At 52.9% G+C, this 27,159-nt stretch overlaps 1 protein-coding gene and 1 long non-coding RNA gene across 2 annotated transcripts in view, besides 4 other annotated features; one reads left to right on the forward strand and one right to left on the reverse strand.

Moving 5' to 3' along the window:
• Positions 1-27,159, reverse strand: part of FAM178B (family with sequence similarity 178 member B) — a 110,696-nt gene that overhangs the window by 26,417 nt on the left and 57,120 nt on the right. Inside the window, exons 9-13 of the mRNA NM_001122646.3 lie at positions 26,905-27,019; positions 21,189-21,282; positions 19,177-19,353; positions 18,864-18,961; positions 319-406 (exon numbers count right to left, since the gene is read on the reverse strand). Of these exons, the coding sequence (NP_001116118.2) occupies positions 319-406; positions 18,864-18,961; positions 19,177-19,353; positions 21,189-21,282; positions 26,905-27,019 (572 nt within the window). The remainder of the gene's footprint in view (positions 1-318; positions 407-18,863; positions 18,962-19,176; positions 19,354-21,188; positions 21,283-26,904; positions 27,020-27,159) is intronic.
• Positions 1,387-1,886: an enhancer, noted in NCBI's record as "H3K4me1 hESC enhancer chr2:97569425-97569924 (GRCh37/hg19 assembly coordinates)". NCBI's record gives its function as "activates a minimal SCP1, AML or CMV promoter by ChIP-STARR-seq in naive H9 embryonic stem cells {active_cell/tissue: H9 hESC(naive)}" and the evidence as "EXISTENCE:reporter gene assay evidence [ECO:0000049][PMID:30033119]".
• Positions 4,371-4,966: an enhancer, noted in NCBI's record as "NANOG-H3K27ac-H3K4me1 hESC enhancer chr2:97572409-97573004 (GRCh37/hg19 assembly coordinates)". NCBI's record gives its function as "activates a minimal SCP1, AML or CMV promoter by ChIP-STARR-seq in naive H9 embryonic stem cells {active_cell/tissue: H9 hESC(naive)}" and the evidence as "EXISTENCE:reporter gene assay evidence [ECO:0000049][PMID:30033119]".
• Positions 10,935-11,622: an enhancer, noted in NCBI's record as "H3K4me1 hESC enhancer chr2:97578973-97579660 (GRCh37/hg19 assembly coordinates)". NCBI's record gives its function as "activates a minimal SCP1, AML or CMV promoter by ChIP-STARR-seq in primed H9 embryonic stem cells {active_cell/tissue: H9 hESC(primed)}" and the evidence as "EXISTENCE:reporter gene assay evidence [ECO:0000049][PMID:30033119]".
• Positions 16,805-23,536, forward strand: LOC101927053 (uncharacterized). Its single transcript, NR_110209.1, has 3 exons — positions 16,805-17,142; positions 17,474-17,601; positions 21,743-23,536. It is a non-coding gene; the product is annotated as an uncharacterized LOC101927053 (long non-coding RNA).
• Positions 24,691-25,404: an enhancer, noted in NCBI's record as "H3K27ac-H3K4me1 hESC enhancer chr2:97592729-97593442 (GRCh37/hg19 assembly coordinates)". NCBI's record gives its function as "activates a minimal SCP1, AML or CMV promoter by ChIP-STARR-seq in primed H9 embryonic stem cells {active_cell/tissue: H9 hESC(primed)}" and the evidence as "EXISTENCE:reporter gene assay evidence [ECO:0000049][PMID:30033119]".

Here is a 27,159-nt window from a genome sequence, read left to right on the forward strand (position 1 = left end):
CACCGTGTTAGCCAGGATGGTCTTGATCTCCTGACCTCATGATCTGCCCGCCTCAGCCTCCCAAAGTGCTGGGATTACAGGCGTGAGCCACCGTGCCCAGCAACTACAATTTTTTAAAAAGACAGGCTCTCAGCTCACTGCTCTGTCCTCAGCGCCTAGCACATGGCTGGCATGCAAGCGGTAATTCTTGATGAAAGAACATGAGTAGAGAGTTCAGAGCCAGCTTAGCTCTGGGGCCTGATGTTCCTGGCCTTTGGGGAAAGCCTCCAGAGCCCGCAGGCCATGGCCTTCCTGCCCAGGCCTGAAGCAAACACTCACCTGGGTCTTCTCTTGCCAGAGAGGGAGCATCTCCTGCTGGCCCAGCATTCGAGCAATGACCACAAGGCTGAGCTGGCTTCGAAGCCGCCTGGGGGAAAAGCGACAGCCTGAGAGAGGGTGTGCTGGAAGTCGGGGAGCCCGAGCAGGGGGCAGGATACCCATGGAGAGGGGACTTTGGGGGAGCCACCCTCCATCTGGGGTACCCCAGCAAAGGGCTTTCTCCATTGGCTTACAGCATTATGTATTCTAGGAGGAATGAAACTCTCATGATCAGAAAATTAAATAATAAATCCACACAAAAACTCAAGTCCCTGGTAATTTCAGAGGCCCACAGAGCTGGGCTTTTCTTAGTTTTTTATCCCCTCTGCCGATACATATCCATGGATCCATAGAGGCAGCAGCACTGAACTGCTTATTTTATTTTATTTTATTTTTTTTGAGACGGAGTCTCGCTCTGTCGCCCAGGCTGGAGTGCAGTGGCACAATCTCGGCTCACTGCAAGCTCCGCCTCCCGGGTTCACACCATTCTCCTGCCTCAGCCTCCTGAGTAGCTGGGACTACAGGCGCCCGCCACCATGCACGGCTGATTTTTTGTATTTTTAGTAGAGACAGGGTTTCACCATGTTAGCCAGGATAGTCTCGATCTCCTGACCTCGTGATCCGCTCGCTTCAGCCTCCCAAAGTGCTGGGATTACAGGCGTGAGCCACCGCGCCCGGCTGAACTGCTTTTCAATACGCCTCTGCCTCTTCTTTCCTTTGTGGCTCCACCTCTGCAGGGTGGGGGAGGCTGGGGGACTGACTTGGCCTCAGCAGGCCAAACTTCATGGTTTTCTTTTCACCCAGTATCCACTGGGCTTTCCTTTGGGAAATCCATCTCCTGCCAGGCTCCCAGGACAGGCACCTGACCCAGTCACTGAGAGGTGGCCTCGGGCTGTGGCTGAACTATCAGCAAAGTGCAGGCATGCAGGCCTTTCCAGCAGGGCCGCCACTACAGCCACTGGTGGCCATCCTGCCTCCTGGAGGGAGAATCAGGAAGAGGAAGCCACAGGGAGGCAAAGAGGCTGAAACAGAGCCCTGAGAATGCCCAGAGACAGCTGTGCCTGGAACCCCTGGCCCCTGGACCTCTCACCCCAGCCTTGCATGCAGAGAGGCTCCCTGGGTGAACGGGAACTGAGGCAGGAATGGCTTCCTCAAAGCTCCGGTGAGGCTGGGATCACAGAGGCATTAATCTAGGGTCTAAAATCCTGGGGCACTTTTAGATTTTCTTAGGAAAGAGTCAAGAAAGTCAGAGGACTCGACAAAGCAGCGGACTCTTGGATTTTTCAAAAAGCAGAACAAGCAGCAGCAGCACCGCACCCCAGAAGAGCCAACACGAGCTGGGGCCATGCCAGGTGCTGGTGGGGGCGCAGGGTTATGGGCACTCACACACAGCTGGCAGGATATTGATGGGTGCGCCACTGCCCAAAACTGGCAAGATCTACTAAAGATGTGTAGATGCCCACCCCATGCCCAGCAATCCTACTCCTAGGTACAAAGTTGCAAAAAAAGGAGAGGCACTAGAAGGTTTGCACAGCAGCAGCAGCAGCAGCAACAGCACAGTGGACAGACAGATCAGGCTGTATCCATACAGCTCAGTCCTACGGGGGGGTGTTGTGATTATGAATGAACCACAAGTACCTCCAACAACATGAACGACCTCCAGTGTGGTAGGAAAGCAGCCAGACACAAAAAATGTATCTGCATGGTCTCATTTTTTGTTTTGTTTTGTTTGAGACAGAGTCTCGTTCTGTCACCCAGGCTGGAGTGCAATGGCATGATCTCGGCTCACTGTAACCTCTGCCTCCCGGGTTCAAGCATTTCTCCTACCTCAGTCTCCCAAGTAGCTGGGACTACAGTCACGCACGCGCCACCATGCCTGGCTATTTTTTTTTTTTTTTTTTTTTTTTGTATTTTTAGCAGAGACGGGGTTTCACCATGTCAGCCAGGCTGGTCTCAAACTCCTGACCTCAGGTGATCCAACTGCCCTGGCCTCCCAAAGTGTTGGAATTACAGGCATGAGCCATTGTGCCCAGCCAACAGGGTCTCATTTATATGAGGTACAAACATGGGCATGCCAGCTACAGTACTCCACGCCTGCAGTCCCTGCTACTCAGGATGTTGAGGTGGGAGGACTGCCTGAGCCTAGGAGTTTGTGGCTACCTTGGGCAACACAGCAAGACCCCAACTCTTTTATGCCCGGGTTTAAGCGATTCTCCTGCCTCAGCCTCCCAAGTAGCTGGGATTACAGGCGCCTGCCATTACGCCCAGCTAATTTTTATATTTTCAGTAGAGACAGGTTTCAACATCTTGGCCAGGCTGGTCTTGAACTCCTGACCTCATGATCTACCCACCTCAGCCTCCCATAGTGCTGGGATTACAGGCAACCCCAACTCTTAAAAAAAAAATGCAAATGGCAAACTTCAGCTGTTGGAAGTCTGGATACTCATGACCCTGGGGTGGGGGTGGGGGGCAGGTTCTGATCATGTTTCATTTCTTGACCTGGGTGCTGGCTTCACGTGCATTGGACTTGTGAAAATGCACTGAGCCATACACTTAACTGTCTTTGCTCTATTGTTTGTATATTGTAGTTCAATAAAACAATTAAGAAAAAAATTCAGGCCAGGCACAGTAGCTCACGCCTGTAATCCCAACACTTTGGGAGGCTGAAGCGGGTGGATCATTTGAGGTCAGGAATTCAAGACCAGCTGGGCCAACATGCTGAAACCCCATCTCTACTAAAAATACAAAAATTAGCTGGGCGTGGTGGCACACACCTGTAATCCTAGCTACTCGGGAGGCTGAGGCAGGGAATTGCTTGAACCCGGGAGGCAGAGGTTGCAGTGAGCAGAGATCACACCACTGTACTCAAGCCTGGGCGACAGAGCGAGACTCCATCTCAAAAAAAAAAAAAGAAAAAGAAAAAGAAAAAAAAAGTTCAGCTGGAAGGGAGATAGGATTGCTAGATTTAGCAGATTAAAATATAAGATGCCCAGTTAAGTCGGGTGCGGTGGCTCATGCCTGTAATCCCAGCACTTTGGGAAGCCGAGGTGGGCGGATCACCTGAGGTTGGGAGTTCAAGACCAGCCTGACCAACATGGAGAAAACTCGTCTCTACTAAAAATACAAAATATATATACACAAAAATATACATATATGTGTGTATATATATATATATATATATATATATATATATATATATATATTTTTTTTTTTTTTTTTTTTTTTTTTTTGAGATGGAGTTTCTCTCTTGTTGCCCAGACTGGCATGCAATGGTGCGATATCGGCTCACCGCAACCTCTGCCTCCTCGGTTCAAGCGATTCTCCTGCCTCAGCCTCCGGAGTAGCTGGGATTCAGGCATGTGCTACCACGCCCAGCTAATTTTTTTATTTTTAGTAGAGACGGGGTTTCTCCATGTTGGTCAGGCTGGTCTTGAACTCCCTACCTCAGGTGATCCGCCTGAGTGTTCTGCCCACCTCAGCCTCCCAAAGTGCTGGGATTACTGGTGTGAGCCACCGCGCCCAGCCAATACTTTTTCTTTTTCTTTCTTTTTTTTTTTTTTTGAGCAGGAGTCTTGCTCTGTTTCCCAGGCTGGAGTGCAGTGGCGGCATCTCAGCTCACTGCAAGCTCCGCCTCCTGGGTTCAAGCGATTCTCCTGCCTCAGCCTCCCAAGTAGCTGGGATCACAGGCATGTACCACCAAGCCCGACCGAAAATAATTTTTCTGGCATAAGTTTATCCCATGTGATATGTGCATCGTGTCTAGCAACCCTGAGAGGGACCAACCATTCCCCTCCATGCCTGACTGTGAAGGCCTGATGTGAACCATCGTGGGGGTGCCCTGACCCTGGGCCCCTTCAGCCTCAACCCCCTCCTGTGCAGCACCACTGTGTACTCACTCAACACTTCCCACTTCCCCCACACTGAGCACTGAGGAAAGGCAGCGCCCACCCGGACTGAACCATGGGATAACTAACAGAAGCCCCTTATCCCCTCTCTACGGCCCCTACAACAGACCCCCGTGGGTGCAGGCCACCCCGTGGCCCCACACCCAGAGCCCCAAGCTTCAGGTTCTCCCCCACGCACAGGCCTTCGCCTCCCTGTCAGACAGGGCCAGCTTTCCAGCTGTTTGGGAGCCCCAGCAGCAGCTGGGCCGGGAACACAGTGGGAGGTCAATGGCCCCTCTGAGCTGCTCCACAGTGAACTCAAAGCCAGTCAGAAGTCTGCATCTGGGCTTCATTAATCCAAAACTTGAGGCCTGCGCGGGAGCTCGTTTACTCGTTTACTCACAGCGGGCGAGGAGGGCCTGCCCGGCCCGGGGGTGAGGGGAGCAGGCAGGCCGGCAAAGCAGTGCCAGGGGTGGTTCCAGAAGGGAAGAGGCGGGCAGGGTGGGTCAGGATGGGGCTGTTATCCAGAAATGAAGAAAAGCACCACAAGAAGCACCAAGAGGGTGCATGGATGAAAAGAAACCCACATGTGAGTGGCGAGCCCCCTTGCTGTCCCCGCCTGCCCACTGCCTTTCATCCTGATGGCCCTCCCCGCCTTTTAAACCCCGTCCTGCATTCTTAGTTCCCACTGGGACACAGCAAGGAGGGGGCAGGGGGCGGGGCGAGACCATTTTTTTATTTTACAGACTGAGAACTTATTCCATGGAGAAGAAAAAGAAAAGCCTCACCCCACCACCACCCAGACTGTGCAGGGCACAAGCAGAGGGGCTGGCTGAGGCTGGCTGTGGGCTCTCCCTCCCATAGAAGAGGCCTGACCCCACCTGGCAAGGCCTCCCCGGAACTCCAACCAGGTTCAGAGGAGGAGGCAGAAGCCATGGGGCCATCCCAGCCACTGTCATATAAGGCAACAGGCTCCAGCCCTGGCGTGCACCAGCCAGGCCAGGCTAGGCCAGGCCAGCTTCTGCCTCCGCCCTGTCCCCCTCCACCCACCAAGGGCCTCCACAAGACCAGGACACTGGATTAGCACTCAGAGGAGTCGAAGGCACTGAGACATTCACAAATGACTTTTCCAAACCCGCAGCAGGGCCAGAAGTGGAATGCCAGCGCTCTGCTTCCTAGCCTCCGCAAGGGGCACCCAGGAAGGCAAAGGCACCAACCACGTGGGCTGCTGGGATGTCGGGCAGTGACATAGGCCAGCACAGCCCCTCTGGAGCCCCTTGTCTTCACTCCCTGGGAGGAGAACTGGGCCCTGCCAAGACTGAACTGCCCTAAAAGGCTGTCAGGCACCTGGCCAAAGGCATGAGCTGCCTTTTCCAGTCTCCAGGGCAGCTCAGGAAGCAACGGCAGTGGCCTGTTCCACCGTGGCAATGCTGCCTGACATGCTGCCTCAGGGCGTCCGCCTGGCTCGCACCCCGGGCCTCTTGTCCATCAGGCTGCCTGTCAGCCACCTGCTCGGCACTCCTTCCCTGGACTCTTCATTGCGCACTTGCCAGGTGGGAAGAACAAGGGGGTGGGCTTAGAAGCTGGTTGTCCCTCCCGGGGGTCTGCAAGCCCACAGCCACCAGACTGCCTGGTCATCCACAGACCAGTCTGAGCACACAGAGTGTGGACGGGAATAGACGGCGGGACACAGTCGGCCACAGACCCAGACGAGTGGACCACCACAGGGCAACATGAGGAACCCGTCTATATATAACCACGCACATTGACGTGGAGAGGCCCCACAAACCAGGTGTTGAGCCAAGGAAGCCAGACCCAAGGGAGAATGCTCTGCATGGTCCCATTTATATAAATGTTTAAAAACAGGCAAAATTGGGCTAGGCACAGTGGCTCACACCTGTAATCCCAGCACTTTGGGAAACTGAGGCAGGAGGCTCATTTGAGGTCAGGAGTTCGAGGCCATCCTGGGCAACATAGGGAGACCCCATCTCTCAAAAACCAACCAACCAACAAAACAGGTAAAATGAATCTATGTGATGGAAGCTGTGAAAGTGATTACCTCTGCAGGAGGGAACGCCTGGCAGGGGCCTGATGGGGCTTCTGGGGAGCGGCAGACATTCTGTCCCATGGTCAGGTGGTACATGGATGATCTCTTTTGCAAAGGGCACGAAGTGTCCACCTATGATATGGGTCCTTCCATTCACACGTATTATAAGTAAATTAAAAGGTACACATGAACAATCATACCAACTTCCATTCTCATCTCCCTCTTTGTATGATAAAAATCACAGAACCTCAGGCTTAGAAAACACCTTGAAGTCTGCTGGGCGCAGTGGCTCTCGCCTGTAACCCCAGCACTTTGGGAGGCTGAGGTGGGAGGATCACCTGAGGTCAGTTCGAGACCAGTCTGGCCAACATGGTGAAACCCCGTCTCTACTAAAAATACAAAAATTAGCCGGGTGTGGTGACAGGTACCTGTAATGCCTGCTACTTGGGAGGCTGAGGCAGGAGAATCACTTGAACCTGGGAGGCAGAGGTTGCAGTGAGCCGACATCACGCCACCGCCCTCCAGCCTGGGCGACAGATCAAGACTCTGTCTCAAAAAAAAAAAAAAAAAAGAAAAAAGAAAAAAGAAAACACCTTGAAGTCACCTAATCTAGCTTCTGCATAGTTATCCATTTTAATTCTCTTTGCCACACCCCCAATAAGTGTTCACTTCAGCAAAGGAAGTGCAGTATCTGCCAAGACAGCCCAAATTCATTTACCGGACTAACCAAAGGAAATCGTTCCCATATTTTGCCAAAACCTGCCCTTCTGGGACTTCCACTCAAAGCTTCTGGATCCTGTCCTCTGGGGCCTCCAGGAGGGAGCTCTCCGCCAACCTAGGTCCTCTACGCTTGGAAGAAGTTGCCACATTCCCGTGGCTGCCCCTTCCTGCAGGTGCCACAGCCCCCTCATTCCCATCTTTTTGTATCTTTTTTTGCCATTTTGGTTTGGGTCCTCTGACGGCCCTGGGGGTTGTCAATGTTCCCTTTCAAGTGCGACACTCGGAGTTGAGGCTGATGCTCATTTTCTTGGCAGCCCCACAACACAACGCAGTTAACAGATTGAGCCCAAAGTCTTTTTTTTTCACACGTCTTGCTGTCAAATCCCATTTCCCAGATCCTGTTCTTAATTGTGCAGCTGGGCCTCCCTTTTCAACTCAGTCCATCATTACAGTCTGTTGAGATCTTCTGGGATCTTCGGTCTGCTGTCAGTTGTATTCATGTCATCTGTGAATCTGACCATTGTTCCATTAATAGCCTCATCCAAAACACTGGGCCTGCCCTGGCCAACCTGTGAGTGGAGACAGAACTCGGGGTGGTGACAGGGCCTGCCCTCTGGGCACACTCTGATGGCCAGCAGCACCTTTTGATAATGAGCCCACTTCATTCTGTCATCATTTGACCCGCATTCCTTCATGCCGAACCCAGCCTATGGTGACAGCCTCTACCAAATGCCCAGGAAACCTACATACAGGCACTGCACAGTCCTCTCTGGAGTATGATTCTGGTTGACCTGTGGAAAAGTGAGGCTTGCCTGGTATGATTTCTTGTTAGGACTCCTAGAAAGCAGTGTTTCCTTTTCTACGTATGTGCTCCCAAGCCGGAATCCCCTAGAGAATAACCTGGAGGAGCACATCAAGCACCATTGCCCCCATCTCCTGGAAGCCCTCCGCCTCCAAAAGTCCCCATGGAGCCACGGCCCCAACTTCATGTCTCCCAGGAGCAGTGAGACGCCGTCCCACCGGGGAGACGGCCTCCTCTGCACAGTGAGGTTGGTCATGCAGCCTCCCACACTCTCTTAGGCTTTAACCCCCTTCGACGACCAATATTTGATTCCAAATGAAAAACTGTTCTCCTTGACAAAGACGGCAAAAGCAAAATACGAATTGTGTAGTGTTGTTCCGTCTGCATCAGGGCTAACGTTTTACTGTCAGCCCCAAACCGCACTCCTTGCTTCAAAAGTAACTACACAGAAACTCCTTTTATGGCCTTCGGCATTTCCCAACAACACTCCCGCTGGTCCACGCCGTTTGTCCGGCTACCTTACTTTGGTGCCCTTCTTTCCAAACCTGAGACCACGAACAAGCTCTGAGGGGAGCCCCTGCAGCCTTTAATGCTTCCCTTCTTTTCCTCACTGGGCTCCTTTGTAATCCATATTCAAAGCTTCAGTGCAAGATCTCCCAGCCCACCTGAGACATCTCTCTTCTTAATTTTTTTTTTTTTTTTTTTGAGACAGTCTTGCTCTGTCGCCCAGGCTGGAGTGCAGTGGCGTGATCTTGGCTCACTACAACAACCTCAGCCTCCTGAGTAGCTGGGACTACAGGTGCACACCACAATGCCCGGCTAATTTTTGTATTTTTAGTAGACCCGGGGTTTCACCATGTTGGCCAGGCTGGTCTTGAACTCTTGACCTCAAGTGATCCACCTGCCTCAGCCTCCCAAAGTGCTGGGATTACAGGTGTGAGCCACCGTGCCTGGCCCTAGAATCTTTTTTTTTAAGTTCTACCTCTTTATGCTTCTTTGAAATCTACCCTCCAGAAGCAGACAAAGCACGAGTGTGCTGAGTGAGTCCCCCTGCCATGCCAGGCTCTGTGGACTCAGGGAGTACGGCCACAGCACCTGTCCCTCTGATGCTCACGGCCCGCGTCAGTGAGGGGGACAGCCTGATGGGCCTGCAACAAGGGCTGCTCGAAGAGGAGATGCCTTGGCCGGAGCCTCGTCTTGAGGCTGAAGAGATGTGAACCAGGCAGAGGAGGACAATGGGAAGAGGCCTCTCCAGGAGGAGACAGATGCGGAAAAGCTTGGAGGCAAATGATCATCTTGAGTTGGGGTGGCTGCCAAGTTCTAGGACGCGGCAAAAGCGTGGAAGCCTGCAGGGAGCAGGGTGGCATGTGAGCCTGGGAAAGGGGGCACCAATGCCCTCCAACCCCAGGCTGCACCGTGGCATTTCACCCTGAGGGGGAAAGTCTGAAAGATTTTATGCACATCAGCAATGCGAACACATGAGCATCTGAAGGACGGTCACACTCCGGGACAGCACAAGGTGGAGCTGGTGGAGAAAGCCTGGAAAGAGACAGTGGGATGCTCTGGCGGAAATCCAAGGGGGTTGCAGGAAGAGCTGCACCAAGGCAGCGACAGGGAGGGTGAGGAGGAATGAGCACTGTGGGAGATTGGGGAGCTCCAGGGCACCGAATCTGTCCATAGGACTCCAGGCCTGGGCAGTGGGCAGACACTGGTGCCACTCATGGAGCCATGGAAGACAGGGAAGGGGTCCTCCTGGGAAGGCGGTGACTCCTGCTTCCCACATGCTGAATCCCAGACATGTGCCACACAGATAGGTGCTCAGCAGCAAAGTCTGGCCACAGGTATTCATTTGGGAGCTGCTAGCATGTGCCTGGAGCTGAGGCCTCGGGTGCAGATGAGATGGTGTCTCAGGCTGGCTTCCCCAGAAAGTAGGCTCTGAAATGGATATTAGCAAGCAGGGAATTTACGTAGGGAGAGAGGATGCAGGGAATTTATGCGGGGAGAGACAAAGGAAACCAGGCTGCCACGCAGCCAGTGAAGGCCTCAGCTGACCCCACAAGGACTCCGGAGCCAGCAGGGTCCTTCGGAGACATCCTCAACTAAGGCAACGGGGAAGATCTTTGTGTCTCAGCACTGGGCTGCTGCCAAGGAAGGGGCCCAGCCCTGGTAAGGTGACCACCTTTGGCAGAGGTGACTCCTCTGCCACCCCCAGCAGTGGAAAGAGTGCCCCAGTCCTGGATCGGGGCAAGTGGGGGGCACCTAGCACCCCCGACTTCATGGGCCTGTGTCACAGTAAGGGCTAGGGTGGAATCCTGAGGCCCACCAAGACTCGAGGGCTGGTGGGGGAGGGGTATCCCTGAGGGCAGCTGAGGAAGCCAGGAGGGCCCTGGGAAGCCCAGGGAAGGAAGTGCTGGTTGCTCATCAGGAAGAGCCCGAGAGGTCCCTGGTGACGGAGCAGCTTGGCTGGAGTGCCTGGTGCCCCAAGAGGTGTCTCCTCAGCTCCTGGCCCTTTAGGTCCTTCAGACATCCCACCTGAGAGGGAGCCGCGTCCTCTCCAGCCATGTCCCCCTCCTGGCGATCATGGCCTGACCGCCGCCCACCTTCACGCTGCTGTCTGCCTCCCAGCTCCAGCCCAGGCTCCGGATGCGACCTTCATCTTGCCTCTTGTTCCTTCCTCCAGGTTTGGTGCCCTTCTGAAATCTCCAGGTTGACTGGGCCTTGACTGCCTCCTTCCAGACCTTCTGGCCTCACCCGCCCACAGTGAGAGCTCTCTGTGACACTCTGAGCTCCGAAGAATCCAACCTGCCCGAGGGTGGGCAGGATTCAGCCATGAGTGAAAGAGAACTGGGGGAGGAAGCTTGGAGCTGCGGCAGGAGCTCGAGGGAGATGTGGGTGGAGACAGAACGGCTGTTTTAAGGTAGGAGACGCAGGAACGCATTTATTTGCTGCAGAGAAAGCTAGTGAACAAAAAGCAAACGGTACAAGAATAAGGGATGACTGCAGAAGGTTTTGGGAGAGGCAGGACTGCCAGGATCCAGAATTAAGGGTGCAGTGGGCAGCAGGGAGGTGAGAACTGAGAGCACTGCGTTTGTCTAGTGGGGGTGGCTGTTCGCTGGGAGTGCAGAGGCTTCAGCAGCAGGAAGCATGGAGTCTGCTAAGGTCCCCAGGAGGCTGGCCAGGAACTCGCTGTGGCTCCGGGCAGCCTGAAGGGGTCAAGAGCCAAGGTGGGGACAAGGGACATGCATGTGGCATCACTGTTTGGCCGTGCAGTTTCAAGTCTGAGAACAGGCAGGCAGGGAGTCCACAGTGGAGAAGGGGTCCAGGAGCTGACCCAGGGCCGGGCAGTGGTAAGGGGAGAAGGAAAGGTGGGGCCCTCTGGCCCCACAGTGAGGAAGTGAACAAAATGGGAGGGAAACGAGGGTTTCGAGGGAAGCCACGGTGCATCTGCGCCTGTCCCAGCTCTTATCCCCAGTGCGCAAGGACCTGACGAGCGTGAGGCTGCTCTCTCCCTAGCCTGTCTGCACTTCCGCTCCATCAGTCAGTTCCTCCTTGGTGGCCACACAGAACCTGCTTGGCTGGCTGCTCCAGACATAAGAACACTGAGAGGATCCTGGGGTGCTCCAGAATTCACAGGAAGATGGAGAACCTGGCCAAGGGGTGTGGAGCAGCAGGGTCCCTGGCCAGAAAAGCCTGTGAGGACTGCCGTCCCTGAGTCCTTTCCTCAGGAGCATCCAAGTGGTTAGGCCTGGGTCTCGCTCCCAGAGGTGGAACAAAGGAGTGCCTGACTCCCGGCTTCTGTGCAGAGGAGGGTGCGAGGAAGACGCCTCCTCAACACAGGAAGGAAGCCCACACCCCCCGCAAACCTCAATGTATTTCCATCACAGGAAGAGATCAGAAGAGAGCCAAACATTGTTGGCTTTTACTTATTTGCCAAATATTTACTCAGCACCCGTGATATTCTAGTCCACGCTCTGTTCTGGGTGCTGAGGATGCAGACATGGGGGAGATGGACGGGGCCCTCCCGCCCAGGGAGCTCATACTCATGGGGAGGGCTGGTCATAGTTCACTTCTGGTCCTGGTAGTCCGTGGAGAAAAATGAAGGAAAGGGAGGTTGTGCAGAGCCCTGAGGTGGCAGCTCATTTGGAAAAAAGGATCAGGTGAAACCTCTCTGAGGCAGTGACATGTGAGCAGAGACCACCATGATGAGAAGGGGGGAGTCTCCTACCAACGTGCGGGCATGAGGGAGGGTGGGCATCAAGACACAAGTGCCCAGTGCACCGCAGGGACAGGGAGAAGAAGAGCAGAGGGCAGGGCCACACCGCAAAGGGGCCTTAGCGGCCACCTTAAAGACTCCAGGCTTCCTTCCAAGATGATGCAAAGTCTTGGAAGATTCTGGAGCAGGGAAGTGACTCAATTGCTTATGACAGTTCTTTTATGGTTCAGTGTTTTAGGTGTCATCATAATGTTGTAATTATGTTTTAAAATACCCACCAAGGGCTGGGCACTGTGGCTCATGCCTGTGATCTCAGCACTTTGGGAAGCCAAGGTGGGAGGATCACTTGAGCCCAGGGGTCTAAGACCAGGCTGGGGAACACAGGGAGATCCTGTCTCTACAAAAACTTAAAGAAGTTAGCTAGGTGGGATGGTGCATGCCTGTAGTCCCAGCTACTCGGGAGGCTGAGGCAGGAGGATCACTTAAGCCCAGGAGGTCGAAGCTGCAGTGAGCCTGGATGGCACCACTGCACTCCTGCCTCGGCGAAAGAGATTCTGTCAACAACAAACAAACCACCAAGACCTTATCTTTTTAGAGACACGTACTGAATAAAATAAGTCTAATCATTTGCTCTGATTCACAATGATGTGGGGCAGGGGTGGGGGGCAATGGGTGAGGGAAGGAGGAGTCTCCACGGCTGTGTTTGCTGAGATGGAAAATGGGTACATGGAGTCCATTTTACTAGCCTCTCAACGTTTGTATATGTCTTGAAATTATCTATAACCAAATTTTTTTTTTTTTTTGAGACGAAGTCTCACTCTGCCTCCTAGGTTGGAGTGCAATGGCACAATCTCGGCTCACTGCAACCTCTGCCTCCCGGGTTCAAATGATTCTCCTGTCTCAGCCTCCTGAATAGCTGGGATTACAGGTGCATGCCACCATGCCCAGCTAATTTTTTTTTTTTTCTATTTTTAGTAGAGACGGGGTTTCACCATGTTGGCCAGGCTGGTCTTGAACTCCTGACCTCAAGTTATCCACCCACCTCGGCCTCCCAAAGTGCTGGGATTACAGGTGTGAGCCACCGCACCCAGCCAACAAAACTTTAAAAACTTATTAAATAGAAGTGATTCTGGCTAATTGGTGAGAACTGGCTGTGGGGGTAAGAGCAGGAGCTTGGAGGCCGACAGGGTCTTTAGAAAGGGGAAATAAGAGGATGGGCACGGTGGCTCACGCCTATAATCCCAGCACTTTGGGAGGGCGAGGCGGGCAGATCACAAGGTCAGGAGTTCAAGACCAGCCTGCCCAACATGGAGAAACCTCGTCTCTACTAAAAATACAAAAATTAGCTGGGTGTGGTGGCACGCACCTGTAGTCCCAGCCACTTGGGAGGCTGAGGCAGGAGAATCGCTTAAACACGGGAGGCGGAGGTTGCAGTGAGCTGAGACTGTGCCATTGCACTCCAGCCTGGGCGACAGAGTGGGAAAAAAAAAAAAAGAAAAAGAAAAAAAGAAAGGGGGAAATAAGCCCTAGGCAACCAAAAACACTCCTATTAACCTCACACCCAAAGATGGCCTTTCTTTTCCCCTAAACAGAATTGGCATCACACTTTACATATGGCTTCAAAGCCTTTTTTCCACTCAGCGTATTTCATTAACTTTCCCATTTTCCTGTGACATCATTTTTAGGTACCATATAATACTCCGTAGCACGGGCAGAACTGAATCGATGGTGGGGCACTGAGGCAATTTCCAGTTCTTCACTATCATGACATTGCTATGCCAAACATCCTTGTCAATGAATCTTTGCCATCTAGTTCCCCAGAAAACGATCTAGCTTTTTGAAGGGTGTGCACATTTTAAAGTCATTTGCTTGATTTTGCCAAACTGGCCTCCAGAGGGACTACTGACCGCATCTCATGAGCAGGGAAGCATATGCCTGTTTCCTCACATCCTGCCAACACTGGGCAGCACTGTCCTTTCGGATTGATTCTGGTCTGCCAGGCAAGGAACTCTACGTCATTGTCAGGGCTGGTTTCGTGAGCCGTTTTACGCAGGCTTTGTCCATTCCTCCATCTGACCAGGCAGCCTGCGGGAGCTGGCTTCATCTGACCTTCTGCTTTGAAGCAGCGCACACAGGATGTTTAATGAATAGCCGCAGGCAGTGAAGGAAGAGGATCCCCAGAGCCTGGGACATCAGCTTTCAGTAGAGTGCAAGCAGTTGCAGGAGCCCTGAACAGAAGTGGGGATGGCATGCTGCTCTTCCCAAAGCTGCCTGAGCTGCCCCAATGGCGCCACCTCCCAAGGTGGATGTTCCTCCAAGAACCTCCTCTTCCCCTTGGCTCTGTTTCAGGTGGTCTGCCTTAGTATTCACTTTCATTTTTCATGGTTAGGCCCAGCTCTTCCTTACATTTGCAGTGCATCCCATGAAGTCTTGAACGCTGAGGCAGGGGCTGCGGGTGTACTGCATGAGTGTCAGCAGGAGTTCTCGCTTTGTGCTTAACCAGTCAGTCGAGCAGACAAAGAGTGTGACAGCCCTTCGTACACCAATCTGCCCTTCTTCCTGGGGTCAGTCTGGGCACAGAGCCCAGTGGGGCAGCCACCAGTGAAGGCAGCCAGTAAGCTCTGTGGCCGCCGCGGGAAGCACAGTGGAGCAGCAGCTCACTGAAGACCCACAGTGAGTACAACGCGGCAGGAAAAAAGAATTAGGAGCCCTTTACAACCCAATCAGGGATGACGGCCAGAACACACCCTGAAGAGCAAAGAAGGTGCGGAAACGGCGGGTACGTGCACACGCAGACAGAGGCTGGCGGCCAGCCAGGTGGCTCTGGCTCAGGGGAAGAAGCGCATTTTCAACATCAAATTTGAAAGGAGTACTTTCAAAAAGGTACTCCTTGGTACCTTACGAATTTTGTTTTATTTGAATGCTTTTATCTATTTAGAAAAATAAAATCAATAACACTGATCCCGATAAGGCACCCTCCTTCCTAGTAAAGCTCTTGGCACAAAGCATCACCCTGCTGACGTGGCTGCCTGAAAGGCAGGCGCAAGATGCTCTGTTTCATTCATTTCCTGGCATTTAAAGGGCAATTGCCATGGGCCCTGGAGCTACCCACAGATTCCACAAAAGACACTGATTCATGAAATCACAGTTTAACATGGCTAGCAGATGAAGGAGTGAAGTCATAAACTTAGGATATGGAGAAGGTAGCTTCAAATCTGTCTTGAAAGGATGAATTATTAAGACCAAAAAGCTGAGGCATGGTGGCTCACACCCGTGATCCCAGCAGTTTGGGAGGCTGAAGTGGGAAGATCACTTCAGCCCAGGGATTTGAGATCGGCCTGCACAACATAGGGAGACCTTGTCTCTACTAAAAATTTAAAAATTAGATGGGTGTGTTGGCATCTGTCTGTAGTCCTAGCTACTAAGGAGGTTGAGGCAGGAGGATTACTTGATCCCAAGAGGTCGAGGCTGCAGTGAGCCATGATGGTACCACTGCACTCCAGCCTGGGTGACAGAGTGAGACCCTCTCTCAAAAAACAAAACAAAAGGCAGAAAAATTGACGTTGGGTCCCCACTGGCTGTTTGGGGATGGAAAAAATCAAGTTAGATCCTTCTCTCATACCAAGGACAAACAGATTTGAGTTGGGATTAAGAGCTGATGGACACAAAGTAAAGCCAGTCCTGAAAGAGAAGAAAGCACACTATCTTTATGGTCTTGGTGGGGAAACCCTTCGTCTTCCACATGGAAAGATTACATTACACAAAAATCCCAATCAATTCTCTGCATTATCCATAAAACTGTCCTGTAAATCTAAATCTATTCTAAAATAAAAAAAAAAAGGACTGAAAAAGTAAAAAAAAAAAGAAAAAAAATTCCAGTTCACTGAAAGGTACCATACATAAAGATTTAAAAAGGACAATCTATATAACCTTTGGAGAAAACATACTGTAACATAATAAGCAACATGAAGATCAACAGAGTTGATAAGAAGATAAATTAACTGATAGGAAAGTGGGTAAGAAATACCAAAAGGTAATTTACAGTAAGAGAAACACAAAAGGCCAATAAATACATGAAAAGATACTCAGTTTCACTGGCAATCAGGGAAATGAAAATTAGAACCACAGGATGATGTTTTCCACTCACCAGATTGACTAAAACTCAAAAACAAAACTGGGAATATGTAGTATTAATGAGAATGCAGAAAAATATGCACTTTCATACCTATTTGGTGGTGTTACTAATAGGTCCAGCTTTACATACTTTAGGGTTGCAATTTCACATCAAGGAATTTATCTCATAGAAATATCTGCACAGACACTAAACAGTCACTGGAAGAATGTCCAGTATTAGTAAGGGAGGACACCACCCCTCATGTTATCTTATGCCCAATTTCTGCCTCAAAGAAAAAGTAGGAGTTAAAGAAAAGAAAGAAATGAAATCAGTAGTCAGACAGCCCAGTGCTGCGTTCCAGGCCTGGTAGTTACAGACTGACCCCTGACTTAACCGGTTTATGTTATCTATAGATTCCAGACATTACACGGGACAGCACTGTGAAAAACCCTGTCCTGTTCTGTTCCATTCTGATTACCAGTGCATGCAGCCCCCAGTCACGTACCCACGGCTTGCTCAATCGATCACGACCCTCTCACGCGGGCTCTCTTAGAGTTGTAAGCCCTTAAAAGCGACAGGAATTGCTGACTCAAGCAGCTCGGTTTTTGGAGACGTGAGCCCGTCAATGCTCCCAGCTGAATAAAGCCCTTTCCTTCCACAACTTGGTGTCTGAGGGGTTCTGGACTGTGGTCGCCCTGCTACATTAGGAGACTACAGTGGCACACACACTAGGGAAATACTATGCAGCTGTGAAAAGAGTGAGGTTTATTGTGTGTATGTGTGAGAAAAACAACCACAAACACCATGCCCTGGATGGAGCAAATGAGAAACTGGCTGGACGAGGTGGATGAGGGGGCCTAGGGACCAGCCTAAGAATTTGCACCTGGCCCTGCAGGCAATGGGGAGCATGGTAAGGCAGAGACGTGATCATCACAGGAACCCCCAGGCATCTACAGAGCAGGCAGACTTTGGAGAAGAGGAAGAAATGCCTCTGCCACCCTCCAGGTGAGCCGGTGAGATGAAAGGAGGTGACTGATTTACGTGAGCCAGACATGGTCCTGGCTGTCACGGAGTTGGATTTAGGATACAGAAGGCAGAAAGGACAGGATTTAGGGACGAAAGGGGTAACAGGTGGGGATGGCAGAAACCTCTAGGACTGTAATTTCCAGCTGGCAAAGCAGAGTGGATGGGCGGTCTGGGGAGAACAGGGAATCAGGAGGCAGGGTCGGCCTCTCCATCCCATGAAGAAATACCAGGCTGCTGGGCTGCAGGCAGCCTCCCTCACTGAGGCCCCTGGAGTCCTCTGACAGAGCTTCCAGAAGTCCCATTCTTTCAGAGAGAGGATGAAACCTGCCCTCTCCCAACTGTGCACAGGCTGCCTCTCTGCCAGCCAGATTCCCAGGAAAGACAGAAAGAGATGGGACTGCCTGCTCAGCACTGAAGCGGAGCCCAGGACAACTGAAGGTAACTTAGTCAACAAGCAGAGCCTCTACCAGGCTGGGCCCTGGGGTGTGAGGCGATTCAAACTCCAAGCCGGCTCCCAGAGACCACCCTTGGAACAGTGCAGGGGAAGGGAAGGGGTCCCAGTGGAGGGTAACACAGAGGTGTCTGCCAAAGTTGAGGGGTAGGAAAGGAGTCATTCTAGGCAGGAGGAGCTGCAAAGGGACAGGCCCAGAAAGAGAAGGGAAGAGGGAGAGAGAAGAGCAAGGCGAGTGGATGGGAGTGGTCTGCTCCGGAAAGGGCAGGCAATCCTGTAAGACCGTAGCCAAAAGTGGGAGAAGGAAAGTGGAGAGAGAAGCCGGGCCAGATTCAGCCAATGGGCCTTATCTCCTCCTGGGCTGAGTTTGTTTACCCACTTCATTCATTCGAAAAGAATTTACAGGCCAGGCGTGGTGGCTCATGCCTGTAATCTCAGCACTTTGGGAGACCGAGGCAGGCACATCACGAGGTCAGGAGATTGAGACCATCCTGGCTAACACGGTGAAACCCTGTCTCCACTAAAAATATAAAAATTAGCTAAGTGTGGTGGCGGGCGCCTGTAGTCCCAGCTACTCGGGAGGCTGAGGCAGGAGTATGGCGTGAACCCAGAAGGTGGAGCTTGCAGCGAGCCGAGATCGCACCACTGCACTCCAGCCTGGGTGACAGAGCAAGACTCTGTCTCAAGAAGAAGAAAAAAAAAATTTACAGAGCGCCGAACAGCACGCTAGGCACTGTTCTAGATCTGGGACAATATGGCAGTGACCCTGACAAGGTAGCTGTTCTGGTAGAGGTAACTTCGAGGAAAGCCACAGCCATAAACAAGGAAACAAAGAGTAACATAATTTCTGGCATGGGTAAATGCTAGGCAGAAAAGAAAACAGAAGGATGAATCGAGAGTGTGCGAGTGGGAGTCGGGTGATCAGGGGACAGAATTCAGCTGAGGTCTGAATGACGAGGAGGAGCTGAAGACTGGGGAGGGAGCCCCAAAGAAAGGAGAGTGGGGGCCCTGCAGGCAGGAGCTAATTGCACAAGGCAATTGTTTTGCTAATAAGACCATGTTAAGAAAATTAAGCTTTTTTTCATTTGTAAAGAACTCATTAGTGAGTTATATTTTTAGTTCTCCCTCCTGGGGATTAGAAATTGGGCAGGGGAGGTTTGTTGGGGCTGATGGGGAGGACTCTGGATCCCTACAAGACCCCGAAGAGATGCGTGTGAGAGGGAGGAGGCAGCGGGGGAGCAGCACGCACCTGCTCCGGGAGGTCATGTCTGGGAAGAACTGCACGAGGGCCAGCAGGTTGTGGTGGTGGTCAGACACCCAGCTCAGGGTGCAGCACAGTTCCTGGAGCTGCAGGAGAACGGCACCCCATGGGCTACAGGAGGACACCGCCTTCCCCTTGCTCTCGCCACCCAGCCCGCACAGGGGAGTAAGTGGGCAGTCACGGAGATCAGGGACATTCCGATGACCTCCAGGCAGTGCCATCCCCACCCAGGGCACTCTAGGGGCCACCTTGGTCCCTAGTGATGAAGCTGTATGAGGACCAGGCTCTGGGCGTCTAGTACCTTCCCTGGCCACTCCCGGATGTTCTCCAGGAGCAAGAGGAGAAGCTGCTGGAGGTCAACTTTGGGCAGCAGGCGGAGCCCCACGTCCAGGCTGGTGCGGCACAGCAGCTCAATCAGTCCCATGAGGTTCTCATCAGTGTAGGCCCCCGGCTGGGCCTGGGCACACAGCGCCAGAAACTGGAGAGAGAAAAGAGGGCAGGGGTGGCCAGGGCATGGGGGAACGGGAGAGTACTTCGAGGACCAGTTCCCTGGGAGACACTTAGGCAGAAGGGATGGTACTGTGAGCCCCGCGGCCATGTTGGGTAGGAGCTCAGGAAACAGTGAGGCCCCTGCAGGGTCCTGGGTGGCAGGCACAGGTGTGGAGAGTGTGCTTGTCAGAGGCGTTTGAACCAGAGCAACTCCATCTTGAATAGGGGCTGGGTAAAACAAGGCTGAGACCTACTGGGCTGCATTCCCAGGAGGTTAGGTATTCTTACAGGATGAGATAGGAGGTTGGCACGATACAGCTCACAAAGACCCCGCTGATAAAACAGGTTGCAGTAAAGAGGCTGGCCAGATACCACCAAAACCAAGATGATGACCAGAGTGATCTCTGGTCGGCCTCACTGCTTATTATATGCTAATAACAGTGAATTAGCATGCTAAAAGACACTCCCACCAGTACCATAACAGTTTACACATGCCGTGGCAATGTCAGGAAGTTACCCTATATGGTCTAAAAAGGGTAAGAACCCTCAGTTCTGGGAATTGCCCACCCCTTTCCCAGAAAACTCATAATCCACCTCTTACTTAGCACATAATCAAGAAATAACCATAAAAATACTACACCAGCAGCCCTTGGGGCTGCTCTGCCTATGAAGTAGCCATTCTTTATTCTTTTACTTTTTTTTGAGACAGAGTCTTGCTCTGTCACCCAGGCTGGAGTGCAGTGGCGCCATCTTGGCTCACTGCGACCTCCGCCTCCCGGGTTCCAGCAATTCTCCTGCCTCAGCTTCCCAAGTAGCTGGGATTACAGGCACGCGCCACCGCGCCCGACTAATTATTGTATGTTTAGTAGAGACGGGGTTTCACCATGTTGGCCAGGCTGATCTTGAACTCCTAACTGCAGGTGATTCACCCACGTTGGCCTCCCAAAGTGCTAAGATTACAGGCATGAGCCACCATACCTGGCCTATTCGTTTACTTTCTTAATAAACTTGCTTTCATTTTACTCTATGGATTTGCTTCCAATTCTTTTTATTTTTGAGATGGAGTTTCTCTCTTGTTGCCCAGGCTGGAGTGCAATGGTGCAATCTCAGCTCACTGCAACCTCCACTTCCCAGTTTCAAGCAATTCTCCTGCCTCAGCCTCCACGCCTGGCTAATTTTTGTAGTTTGTGTAGAGACGGGGTTTTGCCATGTTAGCCAGGCTGGTCTCGAACTCCTGACCTCAGGTGATCCACCCGCCTCAGCCTCCCAAAGTGCTGGCATTACAGGCATGAGCCACTGCATCCAGCCTTTTTGTTTTTTTGAGATGGAGTCTCGCTCTGTCGCCCAGGCTGGAGTGCAGTGGTGCCATCTCGGCTCACTACAACCTCTGCCTCTCAGGGTCAGGCAATTCTCCTGTCTCAGCCTCCTGAGCAGATGGGACTACAGGTGTCCGCCACCATGCCCGGCTGATTTTTTTTTGTATTTTTAGTACAGATGGGGTTTCACCATGTTGGTCAGGCTGGTCTGGAACTCCTGACCTCAAATGATCCACCTGCCTCAGCCTCCCAAAGCGCTGGGATTACAGGCATGAGCCACCATGCCTGGCCCCAATTCTTTCTTGTACAAGAACTCTCTCTTGGGGCCTAGATCAGGACCCGTGTCCGATAACACAGTTTCTGTAGCATCCGGCCCACAGCCAGCACAGTGCCTGCCATGGTGCTGAGCTCGCCGGAGATTCTCCGTGATGCTCCTGGAATTTAGCTGCTGAATGGGTCTGAACTGTAAGCCGAGAGTGCCCTGCATGAGGCAGGCGGCTTGACTCACCTTGTAGATGTGGCCCAGGCTGATGTCCAAGGCAATCTCTTGGGGAGCGTCCTGCTCCTCATTCTCATTCAGGCCAGCCTCGCCTGGAAGCACCCTGTGGTAAGACAACAACAGTGACGATGGGAAACCCAGGAGGGGGCACAGGGGCAGGAGTGAGGCGCAAAGTGGGACACTGCTGCCCTGAGGCTGCTCATCCGCTGGACACAGCAAATTCTTCCACACAGATGATCTCATGAGTTTCTGAGGGCCAAGAATCCAGGGCAGCTCTGTTGGGTGGTCCTGGCTCGGGGGTCTCTCGGATGTTGCCCTCAAGATGTTGGGTGGGGCTGCGGTCACCTGAGCCTACAGGCTGGAGGGCCTGCCTCCCGGCTCACTCACCTGGTCACTGATCCACAGGCCCCAGGGCCTCTCCACAGAGTTTCTCCACATGGCCGCTGGTTCTCCAAAGCCAGTGGTGAAAGAGAGAGGGAGAGAGAATATGCCCAAGACAGAGCCACAACCTTCCACAACCTAACCTCGAAAGTGACATCCCATCTCTTCTACTGGTCACACAGGGCCGACCTGACTTGGTGTAGGAGGAGGCTACAGAACTATGTGAACTCTAAGAATGGGGGACACATGGAGGGGGGCTCCTTGGGGACTGGCTCCCACATGCTACCGTTCAGGTGAGGCCTCGAGCTTTAGTTTTCCAGGACTTGGAAACCAGAAAATCACACTTCCAATCCCCCCAAAGTCCGTGAGTTCTCCCTGGGTCCGTTCGACAAGGGTGAGCCTGCATACACTGCAAAGTGCACCACGTGGTAGCTGACACGGGCTGGCTCACAAGCCAGCAAGTATGGGGGAAATCAGAACAAAACATCCCTGAAAACCCCCTCCAAAGGTGTCACCCTGAGCTGATGTGCTGTCTGCTGATAAGACCTGCATGGCCAGTTTCCCCGAGTGACGGACCCAATCTGGCTGAGCACCAGATGATGTTAGAGACCAGGGCTGGGGAAAGAAAAATCCCCCCCTTTAAAGATCAAGCCACACGCAGGGTGGTGAGATGCTTACGGTGAGGGGGACCTCGGTGGGGCTTTGTGGATGGCAGTCTCATCACCCTTTCCACAAGCCTCCCTCCCAGGCACGCGCTCACAGGACGAGAGCCTGGGCGGGATCACCTTCATCGTATGGCCGAATGTACATTGTTGATTTCAAGTATGTTAAGTGAGCTTATGATGAGGGTCCCCTCTGCTGTCTCACCCACTTCTCCACTCTTAAGAAACGGCTTAAGGTTCCTGCTAACAGTGGTAAGTGAAGATATTGATGACAACCACACTGCTGATGACAGCAGGCTCCAGGCAGCCCCCTGGCACAGGGGAGGAAGAGCACTGTCCTACAGCTCCTGTGAAGTCTCTGCTCTTCTCTGCTTGGCACTGGCGCTGGGCTCAGAGGGGAAGGAGGAGAGATCTGTCTCCGAGGTACCAGGAAGTTGGTGCCGACAAACCAAACTTGGTGGGGGAGTGGAAACTGTGGCTGGGCTCAGTCCTTCTTCCAGATTTCAGCATTTATTAGGGCCCTAACTGAATGGGTAAGGCTGGCATTTGCACATCTGGGCGCAGGCTGGGCCTGCGCCAGTACGTGAGGGGAAGCTCTGGTTCGTACCAGCCTTGAGCGTGCAACACGCGCAGCCATAGGTGGGTGTGCTTTCAGGTTTCTCAGCACGGGGCACTCAGAGTCGACTACAAACATCTGCAGAAGAGAGACGCTGCCAAGGGGAGAAGGAACATTGAAGGTGTGAGGTGGTTACATGTGTTTTTTGAGCTGCAGAGAGGAGTGTGGCTGTGGGGAGAGCCCTGTCCTCCTTGGAAAGAAATGTCAGCCTTCCCAAGTGAATGCCTGGCTGGTCAGAGTTCCAGAACTTTGTGAGCCCATGGACTAATGGGCAACATAATGGGGGTCCTCTAATCCTCGCTTTTCAGAGGAATCACTTGACTAAACTGCTGGCATCTGTGGCTGCTGTTCTGAGCTGCAGCATCAGCTGATCCCCGAAACTCCACCACTGCTGCCAGCAAGGGGCCACAGCCCGGGAATTCAACGGCCTATCTATTATCCCTGCTCCCCTCCTGGGCTTAGCAGGTTAGAGTGAGCTGATGGTCCCACCATTGGACTCTTATGAGCAAAGCAGCTTCACTGGTCCCACGCCTGGCTCCAGGGTCTGTGGCCAGCACCTAGGAACTGGGTTTCTGTCTCGGAGACACCGTTCAATACTCATTAACCTTACAAGGGGCATGTCACTGGCCTCTACCCAGGTCTCCGCATCTTCTTCCCCCAAAAGTTGAAAAAATAATAAAGTTACCATCTGCATGGCATTCTGACATTCTCAGAGGGAAGATGGCAGGTACAGTGTATGAGCACCACTACCACCTTAACCAAGAGCTGCCTCTTTAATCAATTGCCCCCTCACTTGATAGGACGCCCTGTCAATGTGTTAATTGTCATGTATTTACCCCTTTGGTCTCTGCACCAGGCTGCTCCTTTGAAAACCAAGTGGCTGGCGGGGCATGGTGGCTCATGCCTGTAATTCCAGCACTTTGGGAGGCTGAGGTGAGTGGATCACCTGAGGTCAGAAGTTCAAGACCAGCCTGGCCAACATGGTGAAACCCCATCTCTACTAAAAATACAAAAATTAGCAAGCATTGTAGTACGCACCTGTAATCCCAGGTACTCAGGAGGCTGAGGCAGGAGAATCGCTTTAACCCGGAGGCGGAGGTTGCAGTGAGCCGAGATGGCATCACTGCACTCCAGCCTGGGCAACAAGAGTGAAACTCTGTCTCAAAAAAAAAAGAAAAGAAAACCAAGTGGCCAAGGCTTCTGGCACCAGGAAACAGCTCCAGACTTTTGGTCTTCAGCGGCCAGGCCTGCGCATCAGAGCAGGGCTCTAACTTCAGCTGGGCTTGGTAGCAGGAACAGCCTTGGAGGACCATGCACAGCTACCTAAAGACCTCCTTTGTGCTCCTGGGGGAGATGGGGGCACCTGGCAAGTCCCATTCTGTGTTGCAGCGTGGGCATGAGCCCCTCTGAGGATGCTGATGAGCTCCCCCACCACCCGCTTCCCATTCATATCCACGCTCCATCCTTTCCTTGAAATGTCCTCCTGTTTCCCCTCCCCAGTCTCATCATTGAGCAGAGGGCCACTGTTTCCAACAAGTTGGATGCCAGGAGATCTGCATGGCCCAGCTGCGGAAGGACTGCATCTTTCTGAAAGGAAATCTGGAAGCGCTAGATGGGAGATGGTGATGGCTTTTAAGGAAATCCGAGATTAGGAAGAAATGTGGGAAGACTTGTCTTTCTCAGAGCAACTAAAGAGACAGCCCAGTTACGGTGGGGACATGCACAGATGTCTGAGGCCCTCATTTTGAGCCCTGGCCATTGTGAGGCACTGTGGGTAGCCCAGGAGAAGCCCCAGAGGTATCCGTTCCCCTGGATGGAGGCATCCCTGGAAGTCAGCAGAAAAAAGATGCCTGGGCGGAGCCAGCTCGCACAAGACAGCCTCTGAGTTGGTGAGGAGCCAGGACGAGAAGGAACACAGGGAGAAGATAGCCTGCCGTGGGGTTTCTCTTGTGGCCCATGCATCCATGAAGGATGCCATACCCTTGGGGAGGAGATGCTGGAACCTCCTTGATGCTTCCCGAATACTCCGGAGGGGTCACCCTCCAATCCATGACACAACGCAGCAGCCCAGGAAACCTACCCAGGCATTTTCGCCATCCTCCTACCCCGAGGAAGACATGGGGAGGGGCTCCAGGCAGGAAAGCCTCCCCAGCCCTGAGGGGCTTGACCGGTGGTCCCCAGCCTGCTCCCAGAGCCAGGAGCAGGGAAATCAGCCCTGCGGCTGTCAGCCAGGTCCTCGAGGGTAGTTCTGAATCCTCTGATGGGAAATGGTGTCAACGCCAGGCCAAGGTCTGGGGCCCAAAAGAGGTAGATGTTAAAACGGTGTGTCTGGGACACGACATGAGGCCCTGGCAGCTCCCTGGGCCCGATCTAGGACAACACAGCCCTGCTTTCCTCCCACACAAGGCTTAACTGCGCCTGGGAAAGCTGAAGTCTGCGTGCCGGGGTTTGTGTCCCAAAGTACTTGAGATGATGTGTTTAAAGGGCCACAGTTCTCATCTCTCCTGCCCACTCTGCCTCTGGAGACAACGGATTTGTCACGCAGCATGAAGGGCAAGCCGCAGTCAAATCCTGGGAGAACCGGGAGGCAGTGGGGGAAGCAGCTCTTTGCAGAGCAGAGCGAGACCCAGTGGCTATGTCTCCAGTGCCGCCTCCCACTCCCAGGAGGACACAGGGACACTCATCACAGCAGTCACAAGTGGCTCTTCTGGACTCCACGGCCCCTGCCTGCCTCAGACGTTCATTTGTCTTTCTGAGTGTAATTCTCTCCCCCGCTCATCCAAGACGGTGTGCGATTGCAGCTCTGTGCCAGGAGGAGGCAAGTGGCTCATTACACCAGACATGGAGCTGCGAGCTCCGGGAGGGAAAGGGGCAGGAGCACGGCAGGCTGGCACATGTGTGGGGTATTTATAGCAGAGCTGAGTGTGGTTTGGCTTGGCAGACAATTGCTAAACACAGTCGTGGAACAGGTTCTTAGGAGAGCTCCCACTTTCCATGCAGAGGAACATCTGCCCGCCGAGGCGAGGGAAGGGGGGCCTGGCACCTCCTGGCGCTGACGGATTGTCAGCGGGAAGCATGGGGGGAAGTCCTATACAACAGCCCCTCCAGGCTTCAAAACACTCTGTTCCATCTCAAATCACCTTCTTCAAGGGTTCTCAAGAGAGTTTGGATGTGCTAAAATTTGTAGAACAAGATGACGATATATAACACTTTTACGACCTTAAGCTAAGTCGCCATCCGCCCACCAGAGCTATTTATGCATCACGTGGCACTCCTCCCCACAGGCAGGGACCAGGCATAGGCAAATGATCATGACTGTCCACGAGCAAGTCAGCCCGGGGCTCAACGGGGGCACTCATGACACAAAACTGAGGGTTGTGGGAACATAAAAGCATGCCCTGCTGTTCCTGAGTGGATATTAGGTAACGGGCCAAACAAGCGGCTTGAAGAGACTCAAGGGACTGGGACGTGTCTGCAAGGATACTAACCAGGCTGTGAAGTCTGGGTTTCACCAGAGAGTGGGGGCAGCGGGGGCTGAGTCAGGAAGTGCCAAAAACAGGCTCATCCATCCTGGGGGCTTCCCATCTCCCTGAGGCTGGGAGCAAGGAAATTCCTTCCTGGTGTGATACTCAGATCCTCAGGCGGGGGTGTGTGGTTGTTCTGTAATTCCCTACACATGGGATACAGCCTGAGTCCAGCAACTTCCAAACAAACAAGAGAACAGGTGGCTGGGCATGGGGTGGCTCATACCTGTAATCTCAGCACTTTGGGAGGCCAAAGCAGAAGGATCGCTTGAGCCTAAGAGTTCAAGACTAGCCTGGACAACGTAGGGAGACCCCCCCCCGCCACCTCTACAAAAAATTAAAAAATTCGCCAGGCGTGGTGGTGCGTACCTGTAGTCCCAGCTACTCAGGAGGCTGAGGTGGGAGGATCACTTGAGCCTGGGAGGTGGAGGCCGCAGTGAGCTATGATTATACCCCTGTATTCCAGTTCTGAGTGACAGAGAGAGACCCTGTCTCTTAAAAAATATGAAAGAAAAAGGCAGTGAGGAAGCAGAAGTACTCACCTGCCACCGTGCCAAAAGGGCCCCAGAGGGTACAGGGCAGGACTGTGGGCACCCAGGCTGTGGAATGCCTCCCTGACTTCTTGCAGTGAGGGGCACCACAGGTGCTTGTCTTCATCTGTCAGGCCAAAAGGGAGCAGAGAGTTAGAATGGGGAACGGAGGGCAGGGTGCACCACTCCCACTGAAGGGGCTGGCCGTGACCCCTGGCCCAAGATAACCAGTTTTTGCCTTCTCTGACACCACAGGTGTTATCTGGG

This window comes from Homo sapiens, chromosome 2 (genome assembly GCF_000001405.40).
Source record: "Homo sapiens chromosome 2, GRCh38.p14 Primary Assembly".
Taxonomy (NCBI): domain Eukaryota; kingdom Metazoa; phylum Chordata; class Mammalia; order Primates; family Hominidae; genus Homo; species Homo sapiens.